The following is a 22795-nucleotide window of genomic DNA, read 5'->3' as shown; positions in this document are numbered from 1 at the left end:
TTCTATAAGCATAGAAAAAATATAATGAATGCCAAAAAAAAATCATCTGAAGCGGACAGTGTAAAGCACCAGCATTTGAAGAGTGTGTTTTTTTTTCTTTTTTTAATTCCGCTTTTTTATATGCCCAAAATGGTAGTAAAAGTTATTATAATTGGGATCAATAATATGATGATTACTAATTAATAAGAAAGCAAAAGCAGTGCAGACTGTAAGCCCATGCAATGGAAATCACACAGATGAACTGGGAGTCTTTGGGATGGGAAGGGCTGAGCGTCAGTGTGTCGCTATCCCATCATGGATGCTCCCCAGTCTTCTTAACGTGCCTTTATTTAGCATGTTCAAACAGATGCCGTGGGAAGTAACTCTGTTTCAATTTCCCAGTTGGTGGAATAATGATGCAGCTGTCATTCAGCCTAACACATCTCTAGGAAACCGCTTTGATTCTTGATGTTCCAAAGTATAATAAAAGTGCTGGACGAGACAACCAGAGGGGACGGAGGTCTCAGGGCTCTTGCCAAGTTCTGCTTCTTTGGGGGAAGGATGCAATCAAATGATTGCCATACATTTTAACAGTTAAGAGTACCATAGAAGCAACATTAGAAAAAAGAGATGTAACTGCGGTTGGATGACTCTAGACTCTCTCCATGAATCCTGGGCTTGGCTGGTAACAGAGAAGCAATATTGCTTGCTCCTCTTGGGACATACTAACTCTTGAAAAATTGGGCTCTCTATAGATTAAAAGTAATGTGGCTAAATCACAAAGGCCCAAACCACTTTGGAGAGGAAATAAGCTTGGGAACTCCACTGTTATAATTGCTAAATACACATTTCCTTTGAAAAAGTAAAAACAGGAGAAGAAGGTGTAAGACACTAATCATATCACCACCCTACCTAACAGAAACAGTTTCCTCTTTTTGAACATGTTTTTCAAGATTGTAATCTTACTGTGTGCCAAGTTTTATAGCTTGCTTCCCCCATACTATTATAAGCATAACTATCATCTTAATGATTATACTGGATGACTATATATCAATATTTACTTGGCTAGCTCCCATTTGGTTGGTCACAAAGGGATAGACTTATGCTATTATGAAAAAAATGCAGTGAGGACCATCGTCTTGCATACAATTTTTCTGCAATTAGAATTCTCCCCCTTTAGGATAAATTCCAGTAAATGAAATTTTCATGTATTAATATTCCAATGTCTACTGACACATACATGGATCCTGTGAAATTGTTTTATTAAAGGATTTTCCAATTTACACAATTAGAAGAAATGTACAGACCATACACATATTTTAGCTTTTGGCAATTTCTTCAACATTAATATTGATAACCTTGTTCTGTCTATCTATCTATCTATCTATCTATCTATCTATCTATCTATCTATCTCTATCTACTTATCTATCTACCTACCTACCTACCTATCTTCCTACCTATCAACCACCCATCCATCCATATATGTGTATACATATCTAGTAGAAAGAAATGAAAACCATTCAATAAGTACAAATTCATTATTAATATCATTTATGACCAAGATGGGTAGCAATAAAAGTAAAAACTATTTTACTTGGATTCATTTAAGGATGGAGTAATACTGCCACTTTTAAGTAATATTTTAAATTTTTTATTATGACATTTTTAAACACACACACACACACACACACACACACACACACACACACGAAACATTAATGTAATGGGCTGTATATACCCATCATTAAGCTAAGGAATTATCTGGGAATTCCTAATGCTTGGTAATTCCAAGTGTTATGAATTTGAAGACTAGTCTCTCCATGTCCTGCTATTTATATATCAGTACTGGGTTTGTTGTTGTTGTTGTTGCTGTTTGTTTGAGACAGGGTCTCACTCTGTTGCCCAGGCTGGAGTGCAGTGGCATGAACATGGCTCACTGCAGCTTCCATCTCCCAGGCTCAAGTGATACTCTCACCTCAGCCCCCAGAGTAGCTGGGACCACAGGCCCACACCACCATGCCCCACTAATTTTTATATTTTTTGTAGAGACAGGGTTTTGCCATGTTGCCCAGCCTCATGTGGAACTCCTTGACTCAAGTGATCCACCCACCTCGGCCTCCCAAAGTGCTGGGATTACAGGTGGGAGCCACTGCACCCAGCCAATTGATAATGTTTATTAGCATCTTTACCAGCATTAAAAAATTCACATTATTAAAAAATTCTCCCCAGGAAGAACGTAACTTGCCTCACTAAGGTGAGGCTTAGGCATTATCTGTATCCCCATCTAGCTAGGTCATCACCATCTTGTTAGTGTGGATGAGACAGTGTTCACTGAGTGTTGGAAATTATGCTGATGTTTTACATGAACTTCTAAAGTCATCTGTGATAATGGCTTTGAAAAATGGTACACAATAACCTCCAATCATGAGCTGCTTCCTATTAGAATTAGTAAAATGCAAACAGCAGGAAGAAAGAAGGCAGGATGAGACATGGGTTAAGACAGTGGTTCTCAAACTGTAGCTGGCATAGCAACCCGCTGGAGGCTATTAAAAAACAGATTGCTGGGCTTCACCCCCAGAGCTTCTGACCCAGTAGTTTCTGGGTGAGACCCAAGAATGTGCACATCTAATAAGTCCTTGGGTGATGTTAGTGCTCCTTTTGCTGGTCAGGGTACCACGCTTTGAGAAAACACTGAATTAAGGATAAAGAGTAAAGGAGCCAAGAGAAACTGCAGTGTAATTGTGCCTCGTCCTGATGAGGTTTCCGGCAGGAAATGCTGGCTGTGTGGCTAACATGGGACAGACAGCATGAGGAAGCAGGAAGTTGTGTTGTCTAACCGTGGATCATGAATATGAATCTGACACAAAGGACAATGGGGCTGGAGAGAGCAGAAGGATGAAGTGGAAAAGAAAAATGTGTTTCAGAGGCAGACACGTCTAACAAGGTAGAAGCAGGTTACAGAAGCAGCAGAGAATAGTATGCAGATGTCAGTGTAGGTCAATGTCATAAGTCTTAAATCATGAGACATAGAAAGCAACGGATCTAAGATATAGAGCTGGCCACCAAGATTGTGCCAGCCTTACTCTCCTCTTCTGGTGAAGCATAAGAAACAAAGATGTTAGGAGAGTCAAAGTTAACACCAAATCAGAGAGAATGAATAAACTCATTCAATAGACAAACACCTGTTGATGACAACATGCATCATCTACCAGAAACCTCCAACCCCCGACAATGACCTCATGGAGAAGCCAGAGGTTTGCTGTTAGCTCATTATGATACTTGTAGAAACAACTGCTCAGTAGGCTGCTGCCAGGGCCCTGGAGCTTACCCATACCCCAGCCTGCCGCTCCTCCCATAAGTGAGGCATGAGGCAAACACCTCAAATGGACCTTGTCCAAGTGGCTTAAAAAAATGGTTTGTTGCTACATTATTGTTCTTCATTTGGCTTTAGGGACACCCCCTGGTTTTGGGGTGATCAATATCAACTTCTGTTCAATTACATTTTCTCAAATCCTCATGGTTAACCGAAGTTGTTTTTTATAGATGACTGTCACTATGGAGAATGGGTGACAGGAATTCTTTCAGGCTCTCATGGGTACCTATGTAACAAGAGTTTTATTTAGAAATAGATATAAAAATCTGATATGTATATATATATACACACACACACACATATATACACATACATACATATATGTGTGTGCATGTCTGTGTGTGTGTGTATATATATATAGAGAGAGAGAGAGAGAGCGCAAGAGAGAGACAGACAGACAGACAGAGAGTGTCTTGCTCTCAGAGTGTTGCTCCATCACCCAGGCTGGAGTGCAGACTTTACCTCCTAGGTTCAAGTGATCCTCTCACTTCAGCCTCCCAAGTAGCTGGGACTACAGGTGCACACTACCATGCCTGGATTTTTTTTTTTTTTTTTTTTTTTTTTTTTTTAGAGATGGGGTCTTGCTATTTTGCCAAGGCTGGTCTTGAACTCCTGGGCTCAAGTGATCCTCCTGCCTCGGCCTCCCAAAGTGCTGAAATTACAGGAATGAGCCACCATATCTGGTAAAATATTGTATGAAGGAAGGACATTTTATTCTGAAAAGGCTCAGGGTTCAGGACCCTCTGGAGTTTAGGATTTTTAAAAGTGTCAACTCTAATTCTGAAACACAAAAGTACATTAATAAATGTAAGCTCACCACTAAATCTGATTTTCTATGATATGAATTATGGTTCATATTTTTGAAAACCCATGTTTAAAATGTATCTCTAGTGAGCTAAGAAATCCTTATTTAATAAATAACCATTGAATATGACTATGAAGAATTGCTTTATATCTATATATTGAACCAATATGGCAATACATTTCACACAGATCCAAAAACTAAAAATAAAACTTTAAAACCAGAATAAAAATGTACGAAAAATAGAATAGTAGAAACAAATATATATTTATTTATTTATTCAGGTTGTTCAAGAGGGAAGCCAGATGGATAGTGCTGACTTCCTTATAGAACTTTCTGATTTTTAATTTGCAAAAGGAAATGTTGTACACCAAACAGAAGAACAAAAGCAGCACAATGGAAACATACGTGCTACACAGACCTAATAAAAGAACATACTCTTCCAAGTAGGAAGAGTGTTTGTTCTGGTAAATAAAAAATCAAGTCCCAGGTGCCACTTGTAAAATGCATAACCTTGCTAGGAATTAGAGAAATGCAAATGAAATGACCATGTGAGTGACGTGGATGCATGAGATGTGTTTGAAATAATGTCAAGCACAAAAGCAGGAATGGAGGACAGTATGCACATGTGGATTACAATGACATGAAAATGAAATATGAGTGCAGGTTGGCAAAGCTCTGAAGTGAATCTGGCATGATATAGAACTTAATGATCATTCACTTTTTTTCCCCTGCAAGATGCTTACATTTATTTTTAAAAATACAAAAAAATTGCATGCTGCCATGTTACACTAAAACAATAATAGCTTGGTTAGAGGGGAAACCCATTCCTCATTCCTCTGGTTTCTACATGGAGACGTTTTCCCCAGGGCTTCTGCTTGCCTACCCTCTTGCCCCTCTTAACTGCTGCTTCATTGCTGGGGTATAAGCACTGGCCCCTGTGTCTCCACTGGGGGAGCCAATCCATCCTTTCCCTCCTGCCCTGGACCCGTGTTGACTCCAGACTCAGACTTTCCCAGTTGGTGGGCTGATTTGAGGTCAAGGCTAGGGGAGGAGCATGATCAGACCCATCAACGACTTCCTCCAGCCCAGCTTTTGCCAGTGATAAAGGAGATCCCCTACTTCGATCTCCCATTTGTCTTATTTCTCACATGGTTCAGAAACTCAGAGACAGAAGATGGTTCAGAAATTCAGAGACAGAAGAAGAGTGCTAATAGAGGGCCCCTCAAATCCTTAACAGTCTGGAGACTCAAGGGAAGAGAATGCTTTTTCCGCCTCAGGTAAAAAGAAATCGAAGGAGGCACTGACAGGTGATAGAAAGAATGGTGTTAGAAACCATGCTCTCCTGGGGGACCTGCTAACCTCAGTTAACAGAGGTGTGCTGGTGAGCGCCTCTAATTTGTTCTCAGGAGAGACAGGTGGGGTGAAGCGCAGCTGCAATGGAAAGAAGCCCTGACTCAGAGCACAGGGAGAGCCCTGTTATCCTGGCCATCACTAGCTCTCAACAAGCCACTTAGCTTCTGGGGACCTTAGTGTCTGCCCCTTGAAAAGAAAAGGACTGTGTTGGATGATGCCTGACTTCCTTGCAGATCAAAGTATTCTCTGCATGAGGGCTGGAAGAGATGAGAAAAAGCGCCCCCACCCAAACTTGCAAATCATCCTGAAATATCAGATGAGCTAACACAGCACAGCATTTTATATTCAGGTTTTCTTTTTCTTGCCTGACATACGGTTTAGACCTATTACAGCAAGAACTAGAAAGTAAATGAATGAATTTCTGCTTTATTGTTGGCTAAACAAAGTTTTATATTTTTATTTTTTAAAAACTTGTAAGTAAAGTTTTCACATAGATCTAGAAATCTGTGCTCTACACAAAAAGGCTCTGTACACAGCAGAGAGACAGGGAGGAAGAAATGAAAGGAGAAAGAAACATTTCTGGAGCATCTTCGGTGTCCAGCATTATGTTGGACTTTTTATATATGATAGTAATAATAACAACCTCTGAAACAATATTTCAGAGAACTTACTATGTGCCAGGCTGTGTTTATTTTTTCCTTCCTTCCATCCATCCATCCTATGAAGTTAGTACCAAAATCACTCTCATTGTTTAGAGAAAAGTGAACATTAGAAAGTTAAATAACTTGTGTGAAGTCCCTAGCTCAGTAGATGCTGAGCTAGTACTATATGGTAAGAGAGAGGGAGGGGGAGAGAGAGAGAGAGAGAATGTATGTGATTTAATTTAAAATGGCTTACTTGGAAATTTTAATTCCTTAAGGATGGCAAGAACCACATAGAATCCTTTATAAATAAGACATGTAGTTGTGATTAACAAAACTCAAACTCTCTTAACTGTTAGTTCTTGTAGAAGAGAATAATGAACATCATGAAACCATGGCTACATTTATGCTTCCATTGTAAAGAAACATTATGTAAGTGAAGTGCCATGCGACAATTTTAGACCAAAAATCATAAGAAGAATTAACTACACTGCATCTTTGTTGGTAATGCAAATGTGTTGAATTTACACATGCATGCTTGCAAAAATTCAAACACATTTTAATTTACTGATGATCACCTATGGCTATAGTTAGCAAAATAAAGAAGTCAAGCCACCCTGTGTTAAAGCAAATAATTATCCTTGTGAAGACACAGAAGAGGAGGCTAACGCAAGCATTTGCTAATTGCCTTTTCTCTCTGAGACAAGAGCTGCTGTTCAGCATGTTCTGTGTTCCCATTTTAGCTTCCCAGACATGCCCTTTGTGCATCTCAAATGGAGAGTCTAAGGTGCTTCCCACACAAGTGTCATTCTGGTGTTAGTGGTCCTAACATTAGTGAGGCTGAAATAGAGACTTCGTCTTATGTACTTTTTTGACATTGATATATGTTTTCTATGTGAATAGAAAAAAAAAATCCACTCATTAAGGGGGCATAGCTATTGTTTTCAATGGAAAACGCTTGTTATCCCAGCACTTTAGGAGGCCGAGGCAGGTGAATCACGAGGTCAAGAGATCGAGACCATCCTGGCCAACATGGTGAAAACCCGTCTCTACAAAAAATACAAAAAATTAGCCGGGCGTTGTGGCGCATGCCTGTAATCCCAGCTACTTGGGAGCTGAGGCAGGAGAATCACCTGAACCCCGGAGGCAGAGGTTGCAGTGAGCCGAGATTGCGCCATTGCATTCCAGCCTGGGCAACAAGAGTGAAACTCCATCTAAACACCTCAGAGAGGTGTCGTTTTAGCAAGAAGATGCAGAGCTCTGAAAGCTTCTGTTAATCCCAACAACCTTTCAAATCACTGCAATCGAAGCTGCCAGTTGCCCCGATAGTCAGTAAAATGACGTAAAATGATGTGTTGAGTAACAGTTAACTAAGTAATAATTTATCTAAGGATTTCCTCGATGGATTAAAAGCTCTAAGCCTAAGAAGTTGGAAATGTTTCTGAGGCATTTGTCAATCTCTGTTGGAGATATTTTCTCCAGTTTGCCTGAGTTTAGGGAGTTCGTGTGATTACATGGTGCCATAGTTGTCATTTTAAGGAATTTTAAATGTAGAGCATAGAAGGCAATATATTCTTATTAAATGTTGCCTATTTACTAATGAGTGTGACTATCATTTGATGCTTGGGCATTTAAAAAGACTTGATAGTCTTACTTGGAAGAAGAAAAAAACAAAAAACGATTTAAGTTGGTGCAAAAGTAATTGCAATTTTTGTCATTACTTTTCATTAAAGCTGCAATTACATTTGTACCAACCAAATACATTAGTTCTTTGGCACTTTTGGACTTTTCCAAGTGAAGAAAAGTCATTTTGTTGTGTGTGTTTGTGTTTAAAAGTCTCTGTGCACTGTCAGGATTTGAGGCAGACACTACAGGGGACTGTAGGACCAGGGAACCTATATTTTCAGAATCTACAAGTCAGAGAATCTTCCAGTTTTTTTACCCCTACCTGCAGCCAAGTCTTTGGATTATTCTGACCAATATGCAAGAACAATCTGGCAAGAGCCGTGATGTTCTTTTCTGCCTCACGCAGGCATCTCACAAAATCCTTCTGAATCCAACTACCTTGAAAATCTGTGCAAAATTTATTTTCATTCTCAGAATTTAATTGATTCTGTGTTACTTGGAGTGGATATTTTCACACAAGGAATGAAATGGTACCTGTTTTTGTACTCAAAGAATCATCTTGCTTTTTGTTATTGTGGTTATTGTTCTGAGTTTATTATCCTATTTTGATTTTAATAGGCTTCTCCTTCTTGCTGAGAAGCCTTTGCCTAAAACATTAAATAGGTGAGATGCAATGACTTTCCATCACAAGAGTGGCAAAGACATTGACCCTGGGTAGCTTGTTTCAGCTGCACTTCCCTGGAGCTGTTTCCTGCTGGATTTATTAGTATTTGCTGCCTCTGACTGCACCTCATGGTCAATAAACCATGGCTCATGTGGAGTCTGGGCTGCTTCCCCTGCCTTCAGCCTCCTGGTAACCTGAGCGCCTCATTACATGGAATTGTGTGGTGCCTGTCTCCCGGGTATGGTTATACCTCCCCAGCAGTCTGCACGCCAAGTGCATGGTTTCTCAGATGATGTATCCTCATGAACTATCAGGGCTCTGACCACTATTTCCAAACAATGACTCTGGCTCCAAGGTTTGTAGCTGAAAGAGGAGTTACCATCTTGCTATTTCTGGGCATTTTGATATAAAAAATGCAACTGGGGCAGAGATTGAATATAAATGAACAGAATGTCACAGTTTCTCTCCTATGGAATCTGATAGTCTGAATCTCACAGAATCAGTCATTGTGAAAGGGGCCTCTTTCATCATTAATAGGGTAGCCCAACTGAGCCTAGCATCCAAGATTTTAGAAAAGGCTAGAGTTGACCGGGCGTGGTGGCTCACACCTGTAATCCTAGCATTTTGGGAGGCCAAGGTGAGCGGATCACCTGAGGTCAGGAGTTCAAGACCAGCCTGGCCAACACGGTGAAAACCCGTCTCTACAAAAAATACAAAAAATTAGCCGGGCATGGTGGCGCATGCCTGTAATCCCAGCTACTTGGGAGCTGAGGCAGGAGAATCACTTGAACCCCGGAGGCAGAGGTTGCAGTGAGCCGAGATTGCGCCATTGCATTACAGCCTGGGCAACAAGAGTGAAACTCCATCTAAAAAAAAAAATTGGCTAGAGCTGGGGGAGGGAAGTTATAGGGGATGGCCATTTCAAAATTTGCACAGCTCTGTTTCTCTAGCTGGGCTCTCAAATAGGGCATTCATTAGACACATGTAGTGGTGTTCAAGTTCGTTAAAATTGAACAAAATTCACAAAGCAGTTCCTCAATCAGAGTAACCACATTTTAAGTGCTCCACCACCACACGTAGCTAGAGGATACTGCATTGGCCGATGCAGATGACAGAATATTTCTGTTACTGTTGAAAGTTCTACTGGACAGCACCGCTCAAGGTAGACTTGAAAATCACAACCATGGGCCTTACATGTATGCAAAAGTCAATCCATTTCTGGAACAGAGAGGTTAAAATGATGCTGCTACACTGATCTCCACCATAATGAGTGTCTGGCTCAGTGTACTGTAGTCCTATTAGAGAAACTGCAGTTGTGGGAAACCTGGAGTGCTGGGATGGGGGATGAGCTCCAGGGCACACATGGACAGTGGGAGCCCTGAGAGCAGTGAGACAGAACTACAGAGGCACACATGGCCCTTGGAGGAGTCCTGAGCCTTCAGTGGATCTCGGCTCTACTTGGGCGGAAGTGGGGTGGGGTGGGGTGGGGACTGTGAAGAGGACTTGAGAAAAGCATGAAAGGAGAGCAGAAGAGCAGGGAGAACAGGTGGCTGGTGGAGACCATAGCTAACCTTGATCGAGTACCTGCTCTAAGCAGGTGATGACCTAACTTCCCACATTGGATTACGTCCTTTAAGCCCAAACGGGATTATGTCCTTTATGAGATGACAGGCAAGGGCCAGAATGGAGTTGAAGAGTTCATCATTCCATGGGAGGATGGAATGATTCCCAGAGACTCTAGGAGGATCACCCGGTTGGTAACAGACTGCCTTCAATCAAGCAGGCTTGGGCCTGGGAACAGTGAGAAGGGATCAAATGAAAGCATGGCCTTGCTGGCGGCAGCAGTCTAGGGTCCTGGGGTTATATTCAATCAGAAACCAGAGTCTAGAGAGATGAAAAGATGCCCTGTATCTTCCACAGACAGAACACGATGGAGCCAGAACTGGAAACCCTGGCTCAGGACTCCTGCAAGAGTACTGTTCTTTTAGACATTATGAATTGGGTGGCGTGCCCCATTGACTTGTCTAACTTTACACAAGTCTTGGGCAAAAGTATGAAATCTGGAACATTTTTCTAAGCTATTTCCAGCTTTTCCTTCATCAGCTACTAGACTCCCAAAGTTTGGCTGGCTTTCCAGTTATAAAGGTCAATGCATGTCAGTGGCTGGGGAGTAATAGAGCATTGGAAGGCCGGGGACATGTGGATGAGGCATTGATGCCCACTATGCCCCACGTACCCTGCCCTGCCATGAGTTCACAGGAGGGGTCCAGGTAAGCAGTTAGAAAGGGTGGTTTCATGGTGGATATTCCAATATGAATTTACATCATGCAGCAGCACTCAGGCAGGTGACTGTACTTGCAATACTTAAATTTATGGAAACATTTGTCAAAATTAGAGGAAAATATCTGATGGTTATCTGCGCAAATTTTCATCTATGAGACATGAGGGTAATCCTGAAAAACCTTTGGTGCAAAATTTTCTTGCTGTCATCAAGATACCAAGAAGATATAGCCTTCGTTTGTTCCCTGTACACTGTGGTATACGCATGTGATGTAGGAATTGCTGCAGCCATCTTGTCACCATGAGGAGTTACAGCCAGAGGATGGCATCCATTAGCCATGGTACACAGCTGATGAATGAACCAGCCCTGGAGCTGCCCTACAATTGGACTTTATTATGTGAGTTTCATTCTTTCACGCAATAAATATGAAATGAGCACCAACAAACTCTAAGATTGTTTGAGGCATTTGGGATACCTTAGAGGACAAACATACAAAAATTATTAGCCTGCAGACTTTCTAAATTTGCTTATTGTTTCAGTCTCTTTAACCTTTTTATTACCTGCATCTAGAGCATCTTAACTTACACCCTGCTGCCTGCATACTGGCTTCACAGGTAACTGAAGAATCTATATAATAGCATAAATGTAATCAAAAGGGCACTTTTATTCCTGATCTTTTTCTCATTCCTTGTCTTATTTGATGTGTCTGCATTTGACAGTGTGGGCCACTTTGTCCCCAGCTGAGCAACAGTCTCTTGTGTTGGCTTCCATAATGCTACACATTTTTGGTTGACCTCCTATTTTTTGACCACTTCTTAGTTTTTGAGGGTCCTTCTTACTCCTAGGTCATTTTTTTACTCCCCAAACATTAAATGTTGGGGTTCCATGGAGTTTTCTATCAGGGCCACCTTATTTTCCTACTCTACATTCTCTCTGAGAAATACCATCAATTTACATGACTACAGGATGTATACACTGACCAGTCCAAACCATCTCCAGCCCAGCCCAGCCCAGATCTCCCTTGAGTTTCATGTCTGTATACTTAGAGGTCTACTTAGATATTTGGATATCTGAGACTCAATGGGGACAAATCATCACAATGTTTTGTGTCCTAAACTCACTTCTCTCGGGATCCCAGCTCAGGGAATGGTCTACCCAGTCGCCCACGCCCAAATCCTGAGTCTCAGCACTGCCTACTCCCTTTCCTCACTTCCCCAAATCTAAGTGGTCACAAGTCCCTTTAGACCTCACCTCCTAGAACTCTCCAGTCTGTCCTCTCTTTTTCCCCATGCTTACTACCCTTTTCCCCACTACCCACCATCACATCCTCTGAATCCCAGCAACGGTCAGCTAGCTGGTATCCCTGATTCATGTCTTGCTCTCCTTGCAAGTCAGTCTCCCTGCAGGCAGTGTGATGAGGCTGCAAATCTGATTACGTGGAAAACCCTCCCAAAGCACCTCACTGTTCTCAAGATGAAGAATAAACAATGAACATAATTTTCCAGTCTGCATGATCTGTCCTGACTCCCCCTTTCCTTACAGACATGCTGGGCACTCTTACCCCTTCTCTTCATTTATTCCTGACTCCGTGCCTCCAACTGGACTGGTCCTTCAGCTTGTAACATTCCCTTACCCCTCCTATCTTCTCTAGCATGATTCTTACTCACCCCGCAGGGTTCCTCTAAGATACCACTCCTTCCAAGATGCCTTCCCTAAGTCCCCAGGCCTCGGCGGGTGATGCTTCCACATGCACCTGAAAATACTATCCTTTCTCCATTGTAACTGCCAAGCAGACTAAACCCGTCATCAGGACTGTAAGTTCTATCAGCCAGAGACGCCTGGCTTGGCCTTCCTAGTATTCCTGGTGCCCAGGATGGTGCCTGAAACACAACAGGCACTCACAGACATATAATGAATGAATACATTTATGTGGAACGCTTACTCACTACAATAATAATTATTATCTCACTAATTCTTTAGGTTTGGGATAGTGGTTTTCTGAAAGAACAGTGTTGCTTAAGAGAATTGTTATCACAATTGCTCTTTATTCTTATTGTTTAAACCACTTTCTAGCTGTCTTAATTTAACACCTTTACATTTTCAAAGGTGGATTTTGTTAAAAAAGCAAGTCCAAGTAAACCTATTGTATTAAGTGCTTAGGTGCTACACAAATGATTATAGGTTGTTGATGCTGAAAGTAAACACTCTTTTCATTTTCACATGGTTACTCCAAATCACAGCTTTCAGAAAATGCCATTTCTAGGTGAGACGTCAGAAACAGCTAAAAACATGACAAACAATAGTGCCTGGTAAAGGCTGTGAAAAGCATTTCCTATAAACGTCAAGATTTAGAAGTCTATGCACCTGGAATACCAGATAAACTATGGGATTTAAGAAGGCTCGAGTCTACATTTGTCTCCTCTAATACAGAGAAGAAGTTTTATTTTTATTTTTAAAATACGATGACCTTTTAATTTAAATATTGGGCTTTTTCATCTTGAATGTCAGAAGACGAAAAATGCGACCCCTGTGTAAAAGAGTTGTCCATTTCAGGAAGCTTCTGTTTGTGTTTATAATTAAAAATAACACCTTCCAACCTGATTAAGGTTGCTCCAACCTGATTAAGGAAAAAAACATACCTCAATGTACTTTATTACTTGCTGTGGCATGTTATCTCTAATTTCCAGCACACAATGGAAAGCAAAGTTGCTCACTGGCACACTGTCAGTTTTATTCTTTCCTTGCAGGATACATGCCCTCCTTATCTCTTTTCCCCTCCCTGTAGGATTACCTCTTCCCCCAGGTCTAGGTAGGACTGCAGTGGAAACTACTAGGTGAGCTGCGGCAGCTTCACTGATCTCACGGCAGGCTGCCACATTTAGGGTGTGGAATTGTCTAACATGCAGGGAAAATGTCATTTCATCGGATGGTAGAGAAGTGGTCTTCTTTTCCCTCCCCATCCTCCCAATAAAAGATACATCCACGTGAATTACACATACCCATACCATACAAAGTGAGTGACACTGTGGTAGAATTGAGGCTTCATAGAGAAATTCAGTGATGGAAATAGCACAATCACCACTGTTATCCCTAACATTCTACAAATACAGCATCATGTTTATTTGTAGAGATTACTTGCAACAGCCAGTAATAGCAATATTTATTAAGATTCTCAGATAACCAATGTGCATAGCCTTCCTGTGTCCCTATAAATCCCACATGAAGAACATATGATCTCAGCAGGGGTTTTAAGAGTTCACACTCACCGGCTGTGACTTAGGTTACATCAATAACCTTTCTGGGCTTCAGCTGCTTCCTGCCTACATTGGAATAATCAGTAGCTAGCCAGGTGACTTCGTGAGATCCTCGCCAAGTGTGAGAAATATTATCACTATTTTATTAATGACCAAACAATATACAGTTGCTCCTTGAATGACACAGGTTTGAGCTGCATAGGTCCATTCATATGTGAATTATTTTCAACCCAACACAGATTGAAAAACCTGTGTTTGGAGGGCTGATGTTCTGTATACATGGGTTTCACAGGGCTGACTATGGGACTGGAGGATGTGCGAAATTTGGTATGGGAGGTGGTTCTGGAACCAATCCCTTGCGTATACCTCGGGATGACTATACTATTGACTGACATTGCTATATTTTTCCCATACCACTTAAAGACACTATCTGAAAGTAGGGCATTTGGCATCCATGTATACAAATATATACATAATATAATATTACCTATTTAAATAACTGGCAATAAAGTTTTATGGACCATAAAACTGAATAAATAAGGGGGATCAGTGTTCTTAGTATTCTGGATTTCGCCGGTGCAGTGAATAAACCAAGTCATGTGAACATGCAGAAATTACCTCATGCCTGCATTCATTGCTTTCTATTCGCATTTGCTGAACATCAATTTTGTCCCAGGCACTGCTATAGACACTTGGGCTACAACAGGGAACAAATCAGACGAAGACCCCTGCCCTGCTTGGTGGAGCTTATGAAGTGAGGAGAGATAGGCAAGAAAAAATTAACATGATAAATACATAATTTACAGGCGTCTGAAGGTGGAAGGTGATAAGAGATAGAAGAAAAAAGGAAGAAGGAGGGTAAGGGGTCTAAGAACTTAGAGAAGGCGGCAGCAATTTTAAACTTGGTGGTCGCAGAGTAAGCTTCACTGGGAAGGTGACACCTCAGCCAAGGCTGGAAAGAGGAGCCAGCCATCTGGATATCTGGGGGAAGAGGCTTCTGGAAGAAGGCGCAGCCAACGCAAACCTCGAGGGCCAGGAAGCAGGGCTGAAGTGGCACCAGGGAAAGGGAGTTTGTAGGAGGGATGAAGAGAGTGAAAACGAAAGTTAGGGGTTGGAGGGCAGACCATGCAGGGCTTTACGCTGTTGTAGAAACCTGGAATTTCTGAGTGAAATGTGGAGCCACTGCAGGCTTTGAGCAGGCAGTGACAGGCTCTGATTTACAGGGTAATGAGAGAGAAGCAAATGCCACAGAGAGGCCTTTATTGAAAAGAAACATCCCGGGGCAATCTGAAGAACTTAAGGGCTCATGAATGAAGTTACAAGTTGCCTTAAAGTTGTAGTAGGACCAGGTTTCAGAATCTGGGTGCCCATGCCCCTGTTTGAGCCACTCGGTCACTTCGTTTAGGTCTCTGTGAAAATATCACCTCCCACAAGAGGTCCTCCATGATTGCATTGACCTAAAATCACAACCCCCTCCCCCTTCGCTTGACTTTATTTCCTTATCCTGCTGCTTCATTTTTCTTCAGAGCGCTCATCACTCCTTGGCAACAAATACTATATGTATTATTTCCTATTTCTGAGTAGAAGGTAAACTCTGAAATGGTAAGATTTTGCAATTGTGGTTATCACTGTAGCTCCATACCGAGGCAACTCCTTGGCACGGAGGGAGCACCTGGTGCCAATTTGTTGAATGAATAAATACATACATAGCCCGGGAGCCAAGGAGAACTTTGTTTAATTAAACTTTGTTTAGTTTGTTTAAATTAAGTTCAAATTTAAGCAAATAGGTCATAAGATTGAGGAATAAATAAAAATAAACTGTCGAACTATAGATTATTTTACACCATTAATTGGTTTAACATTTTTACTATTTATAGTGTTGGCAGTTCACCTTAACATTTAAGTTGTGTTCTTTATAAAACAATCATATTGTAGAAAATCAGGAAAATGAGAAAAAAAGAACCTATAATTTTCTGTCCATGCTACCATCACAACTAACATAATTTAAAATTTCCTTTTATGTGGTTTTCAAAGTGTGCTGCATTCTTACCTGGCCTCAATATATCTAGAGATCAAACTATTTCCTCTGATTTTAAAACTTTTATCTAAATCTCTGGATTGTAAAATTATGTGATTCAATATGGAAGCCAATAATAAAAAAAAAAGCTGTTGAATAACTATGCTCTTCTTGTCTAACACACTCTGTTAAATGAGGAATCTCTGTGCCGGTTCAGTCGACATTTGAGATTACTTTTCTTAGACCCAAGCTCTCATTTTGCCTGAATTAAATTCATTGACCAGTTTGGGATTTTAACCCATGAAGGAAAATGGAAAGAATTTTGAGAACTGTCAGAGTAATAAAACCTCATTAATTTTGTGTGTACTCTGCCCAAATAATTACGACTCTCAAATCACTAGTTTATTTTCATGGTTTCTATGAACAAGTGGGGCATTATCAGGCAAAATCAATAATGTAAAAAGCACTGGAAGGGAAAATCCTACCTACTAAAGACAAATTATCTTCCACCACATTAGTAGTATCGTGCACACAAACAGCATAACTGCGGCACAAACAGAGGTGGGGCCTGGAGGCTGCATGCAGGTGGACAGGCTGACACAGTCATTACAAATCAATGCGGCAGCTGTCAGGGTCCATGCATCGCTGGTGGAAACGATTTTGCTGCCGGTAACTAGCTAGAGTCATGTGCGCTAACACAAGGAGATGGTGCAAAATGAGGAATGACCAGCCAGGCAATATGGAATGATTGCTCCGAATCTATGAGATTTATCCTTGAAATGAACAACTTAAAAAAAGAAAGTCTCTTTGCCATTTGCCGTTCATCAGGTTGCGGCAATAAAATTCTATTTGCTTTACCCCCCGAATCTCAGATACAGGAAAAAGAATGATATTATAGAAAGGGAAGAACAAATGACAGGAAAATGACTTGCTTAGAGGCTAAGAGGAAAGCCAGGTGGAACCGAATTCGGATACAGAAGACCGGGTTCTCGGTGGACACTGACACGAAGGCCATTCTGAGGAGGTCACAGATCTTTGTACTTTTTAAATCCTCAGACAAAAGGGGACAGTGATGTCCACTCTTCTGAATTCTTGGGCCTGTTGATAGGGTCACCTAGGGTGAGGCACATAAAAGGTTTGAAGAAAATATAAAGGACAATGATGATGATGATGAGACTACCAACAATCACAGCATGTTAACCCTTATTGAGAATTTATAGATTGCTATAAAGTCACTGTTATAAAAAAGTCACTGTTCTATTTCATATGTGCTATCTCCTGTAATCCTCATCACAACATCACCCATACTTTCAGATAAAGCAAGAGAAGCACAGAGAAGTCAAGCAACTTGACTAAAGTTGCACAGCTAGTCAACAGTGGAACTAGAATTGAAACTGATTCCAGGGCTCATGCTCCTAACTGTAGATATACTATAATATGAGGCAATGAGATTAATATCCACAGAGATACAAAATGAGTGCTTTTATCAGAAAATCCCATAGAAAACACAAACCTATACACTACTATGTGCAACGAAGTTTTCATTTTAGCCTGTCTCTTCTTCTCCTCTTCCCAACATCCAAACAGTAAACATTTTTGAGCATCTAAACTATATCAGACATGATTTGGGGCTTGGGGAATCGCAGCCTCTGAGGCCCCTGCTCTCCTACAGTTTATGTGCTAGTGAGCAAAGTCAGTCAACAAACAACAGAAAGAACAGACAGTGATAAGTGCAAGGATCAAAGTAAAACAGGAAGTTGTGGTGACAAGTGACATGTGGGGACTAGACTGGTCCTTCCCTCTGCAATCACTTATTTATGTATGTATGTACAGATTTACTTATTTATTTCCTTTTTTGAGACAGAATCTTGCTCTGTTGCCCAGGCCAGAGTACAGTGTGCAATCTTGGCTCACTGCAACCTCCACCTCCTGGGTTCAAGTGATTCTCCTGCCTCAGCCTCCCAAGTAGCTGGGGCTACAGGCGCATGCCACCACACCCGACAAATTTTTGTACTTTTAGTAGAGACAGGGTTTCACCATGTTGGCCAGGCTGGTCTCGAACTCCTGACCTCAAGCGATCCACCGCCTTGGCCTCCCAAAGTGCTGGGATTACAGGCGTGAGACACCGAGCCCGGCCCGCAGCCACTTACTGAGTGCAGGTCCTGTGTCAGCTCCATGTGTGCTGATGGAGAAAGAAGCAAGTGTGACAGAGGCACAGCGCCTGCTCTCAGGGAACTCCTAACTGTTGGTGAGGACTTGGGGCACCAACAGTCTGGAGTTCCTTGAGAGCAGCCTAAGGGACCCTCCAGTCTCAGGGATCCTGTTTCTTTCCCTATCAAATGAGGCTTTTGCTCCAACAGTTTGTGACTTCTTTTTATAAGTCAGGAAGCCACTTAGGCAATTCTTATCTTAACCCAGTTATTAGATGTAACGGAAATAATAAATGCTACTGTACATGTATTCTCTACTTCAGAATATTCCTGAGGGAGAAGAGGGATTGTTTAAGTGGATCTGAACAAGTTTTGGCTGTAACAATAATATTTATTTAAGCACTCGGGTGCTTATTATATAATATTATACCTTTAGTTAAACATTTTCCATCTCTCCTGGGGGGTGAATATGGGGAAAGGAGCTTATGATGAAGCATGGAGATTTAAAGTTAGAACAAGGGAGGGGCCGGGCGCGGTGGCTCACACCTGTAATCCCAGCACTTTGGGAGGCGGAGACGGGTGGATCACCTGAGGTCAGGAGTTTGAGACCAGCCTGGCCAATGTGGTGAAACCCCATCTCTACTTAAAAAACAAACAAACAAACAAACAAACAAAAAAACAAAAGTAGCCGTGCATGGTGGTGCGCACCTGTGGTCCCAGCTACTCAAGAGGCTGAGGCAGGAGATCCACTGGAACCCAGGAGGCGGAGGTTGCAGTGAGCTAAGATCCTGCCATTGCACTCCAGCCTGGGCGACAGAGGGAGGCTCTGTCTCAAAACAACAACAACAACAACAACAAAACAAGGGAGGGTTGGGGGATCATACAGGCAGCAAGACATTGAAGAAATGCAAGAAAAGTATGGATTCTTTTCCTGGAGAGCTTAATCCATCAAAAAAGTGGTATGCTGGTATGGTCATACACAGAAATCGATGGATAAAGCTGGCTTACCATAGGGCTTGCTTGACCCCAGGAGGTTCTGATAATGACAGAACGTAGTTTGGAATCATGCACCTTCACATTCTGCCTCCATTATGCCTTGCCACCAGGGCAGGGCAAGAGCTAGGCCACTTTTCTCTTGCATTTCAGGCTAGTAATTTGTGCTAAGAGAAAATACTTCAAAAGTACCACGGGGAAGGCCCATGACAAGAATGAAGGAGGTCAGATTCACCAGAGGAATAAGAACCAACCCACAAAACAGTGGAGTCTGAAAGATGCGCCAGAACCCAGAAGTACCACCTGCCTCGTTGTAGTAGAACACACGAGGCATGTAGAAGACCTACAAAAACACAGCAAATGGACTGCGTCGGCAGATTACAGGACCACTTTGACTATCAGGACAGATTGTTAAAGTAGAATATTATGTGATTTAATAATCTGGCCCACCAGATAACACCTGCATGAAACAATCAGAAGACCTGACATAGAAAATCACTGTTGATGATTTTAACAAGATTGGAAGTGACAGTCTGTTATTTCACTTAAAGCGCTAACAGAGGGAGTGTGGTCCTCAGAGTGAGAGAAAGAGATAAGAGGGAGAGGAGGGAGGAGGAAGAAGAGGAAGGAGGAGCAAGAAGAGAAGGTGCACGCATGCAAGTTCAATTGAAAATTGCAAAGGCCGGGCGCGGTGGCTCACGCCTGTAATCCCAGCACTTTGGGAGGCTGAGGTGGGAAGATTGTTGAGCCCAGGAGTTTGAGACCAGCCTGGGCAACATAGTGGGACCCTGTCTGCACAAAAATACAAAAATTGGCCAGGTGTGGTGATACACACCTGTGGTCTCAGCTACTCAGGAGGCTGAGGCGAGAGGATCCCTTGAGGCTGGGAGGTCAAGGCTGCAGTGAGCCGTGATTGCATCACTGCACTCCAGCCTGGGCAACAGAGCAAGAACCTGTCTCCAAAATATATACATAATAAACTAAAATACCATAAAGCTCTTAGAAAAGAGGAGTGAAGGATACTTCATATGCCATGTAGTTCACTGCATACGTTCATATTCAAAGGCAATAATTCAATAAGCAAAGGACACGTGGTATTCACCAGCAAATATCTGTGGACACATTCACAGAGCATTTGAAGCACCATAATATTATCATTTCCAATATCTTAAATGTACAGTCATATATCACAAATTTATCTCCTTCAATTTATTCTATTGTGGCAAGATGGACCACCAAAAGCAAACAAACAAACAAACAAAAACAAGTTAAGGAAATCCTAGATGAGTATGGATTTCTCACACTTGTCTTGGGAATACTTAGTTGCTGAAAGGGCCTAAACAGGTGACTGCACCCTGGTCGTGTGTATTTGCATGCCAACAGACTCACAACCAGTGCCTGCATCATTCCCGGGGCCACATCATTTTGCTTAGCCTCCTGTGGTTTGATTCCAATGCTCAGAAAAGGGAGTTTTATTTCCTTCGTCTCATATGATGCTGACAGCTTCAGCACTGTCTGCTATGTTCTCTTTTCTCTCTAGAACTGTCTGGAGTTTTAATGGTTCAAATCCTGATATCTGGTGATGCAGAAAATGAAATGGAACTCCAAGCAATATGCATGCAGATTCCACGCATGACTCTTTGACCCGGGGATGACAGACCAATCCTCCTTACCTTTATCATAGATTTCCTTCAGGACTCCTCGCTTTATCAGCTCTTCTCTGCTTTGCCTCATAGATATTTTCCTTTCCAGGGCTACAAACAAAAGACAAACAGGGAGGCAGATGTGAGTAGGTAACAAAGTTGTCTTCTAAAGGATCCTATGTTAACACATATGGCAATGTAACATACGAGAAAGCTTCTGTAAATCGTGCTTTGCTAATGTGAGCTAATGAGACATACCAGTTAATATGTTTTGATACTATCATAATAAACCTTTTAATCAGATGATGTCATTTAAGCTTCCAAATAATCTTCAAATTACCACCTATGACAGGGTAGGCATTCTTTTTTTTTTCTGAGACAGAGTCTCACTCTGTTGCCCAGGCTGGAGTACAGTGGCGCGATCTCAGCTCACTGCAACCCCTGCCTCCCAGGTTCAAGCGATTCTCCTGCCTTAGCCTCTTGAGTAGCTGGGACTACAGGCACATGCCACCACACACAGCTAATTTTTGTATTTTTAGTAGAGACGGGGTTTCATGGTTTGAGCCAGGATGGTCTTGATCTCCTGACCTCGTGATCCACTTGCCTTGGCCTCCCAAAGGGCTGGGATTACAGGGGTAAGCCACTGTGCCCAGCCAAGGTAGGCGTTCTTATTTAATTGAACCCCAATTTATGGTTGAACCTGTAGCACAGAAAAGCTCAACAACTTGTCAGAGTCACATCGCTATTGAGTAAAGGAACTGGGATTCAATGCTAGAAATGCCACCTTGGATGTCAGCCAAACCTCATGTCTTACTGAACTTTCCTGAACATGGTACTTCCTCCCAGGAGGGACTGCTGTTTCAATGATCTAGTTCATAGAGATCATGCCTCACTGAGGATTCTGTTGCTTTCCAACTATTTTAAAAAATGGTGTGAAAATATCTTCTGAGAAGTTCTCTGGTGTGGCCTCCCAAGGTCCGGAGGTGATACTGTCTAAAGGTAGGGGTGGCTTCCATGGCACGGCCCCTCCACTGCCTTCTTCTCTTAGGCTCCAAGCTGGAACAGCCAAATGGAGAAGGAACCATTCAGTTACCCAGTGCACCTCCACCATGGCCCCACCATGCACCTAGGTCAAGTGCTTGGGAAGGTGGCAGCGGGGCTGGAGGAAGGAAGAGGTAACAGTGGGTGTGCTGGGGGGCAAATCAAGTAGAAACAACCCAGGAGTGAGGAAATGAGGGGCTGCCCAAGAGGCAGGCCTGTGGCTCAAAGGAGGGACACAGGCGAACGTGGGGAGGAAAGAAGGCTATTCCAGCAGCTGGCGCAGTCTCCGGTACACACTGACTCAACCTCCACAGCCTTTGAAAACATATTCAGGGGAAAATCATCAGCTTTAAAATAAGGAAACTACTTTATGCAGACAAATTCAGATACAGATTAATTAAACACACACTGCCCTCAACGGAATTTAGTCCAAAGAATATGAAGAAGAACTAGAAAGAAAGCAAGCAACAAGGATTGTGGTTCTAACTCTGCCACCCTCTAAGCTATGGGACATGAGTCGAGTGACCTTAGTCAAGTCACTTTGCCACACTGGGAAAACACTGATGCCTCAGCCCAGCCATTCCAATTTCATAGGTCCGGGGTGGGACCAGGACATCTCCATTGTGATAAAAAAGCTCTCTGGGTTATTTTCAGGCATGACTCGGCTGAGAATCACTAATTATATATTTTGGAACTTACTATTTTAAAAATGTTACGTTCTAGCTCCCTCTCTGAAATTACAATGAATTAAGTGATATGAGGGAGAAAAATAAATGTTAGGTTAGAATGCACTCACGTAGAGCTGACAGAGAACATATTAATCCTAAAATAGAGACATAAATCTGTACCCACAGAAGTGACGGCAGGAGGGCTATATGGGAGGACAAGGGGGAAAGCTGGGTGCAGGAAACATGGAAACAGTGTTTGTGTGGGGGTTCAAGAGTTTTATTTGTCAAACCAGATGACATTATATG

General features: G+C 42.1%; 1 protein-coding gene across 20 annotated transcripts in view; it reads right to left on the bottom strand.

Annotated features, from left to right (window-relative positions):
- Positions 1-22795, bottom strand: part of PHACTR1 (phosphatase and actin regulator 1) — a 571071-nt gene that overhangs the window by 106743 nt on the left and 441533 nt on the right. For all 20 annotated transcript variants that reach the window (XM_005248934.4, NM_030948.6, XM_047418373.1 and 17 more), the window contains one exon: positions 20811-20891. In XM_005248934.4, coding sequence (XP_005248991.1) covers positions 20811-20891 — 81 coding nt within the window. The remainder of the gene's footprint in view (positions 1-20810; positions 20892-22795) is intronic.

Source organism: Homo sapiens, chromosome 6 (genome assembly GCF_000001405.40).
Source record: "Homo sapiens chromosome 6, GRCh38.p14 Primary Assembly".
NCBI lineage: Eukaryota > Metazoa > Chordata > Mammalia > Primates > Hominidae > Homo > Homo sapiens.
Note: the sequence above shows the minus strand (reverse complement) of the source record. Positions and strands in the feature narration are given on the sequence as shown.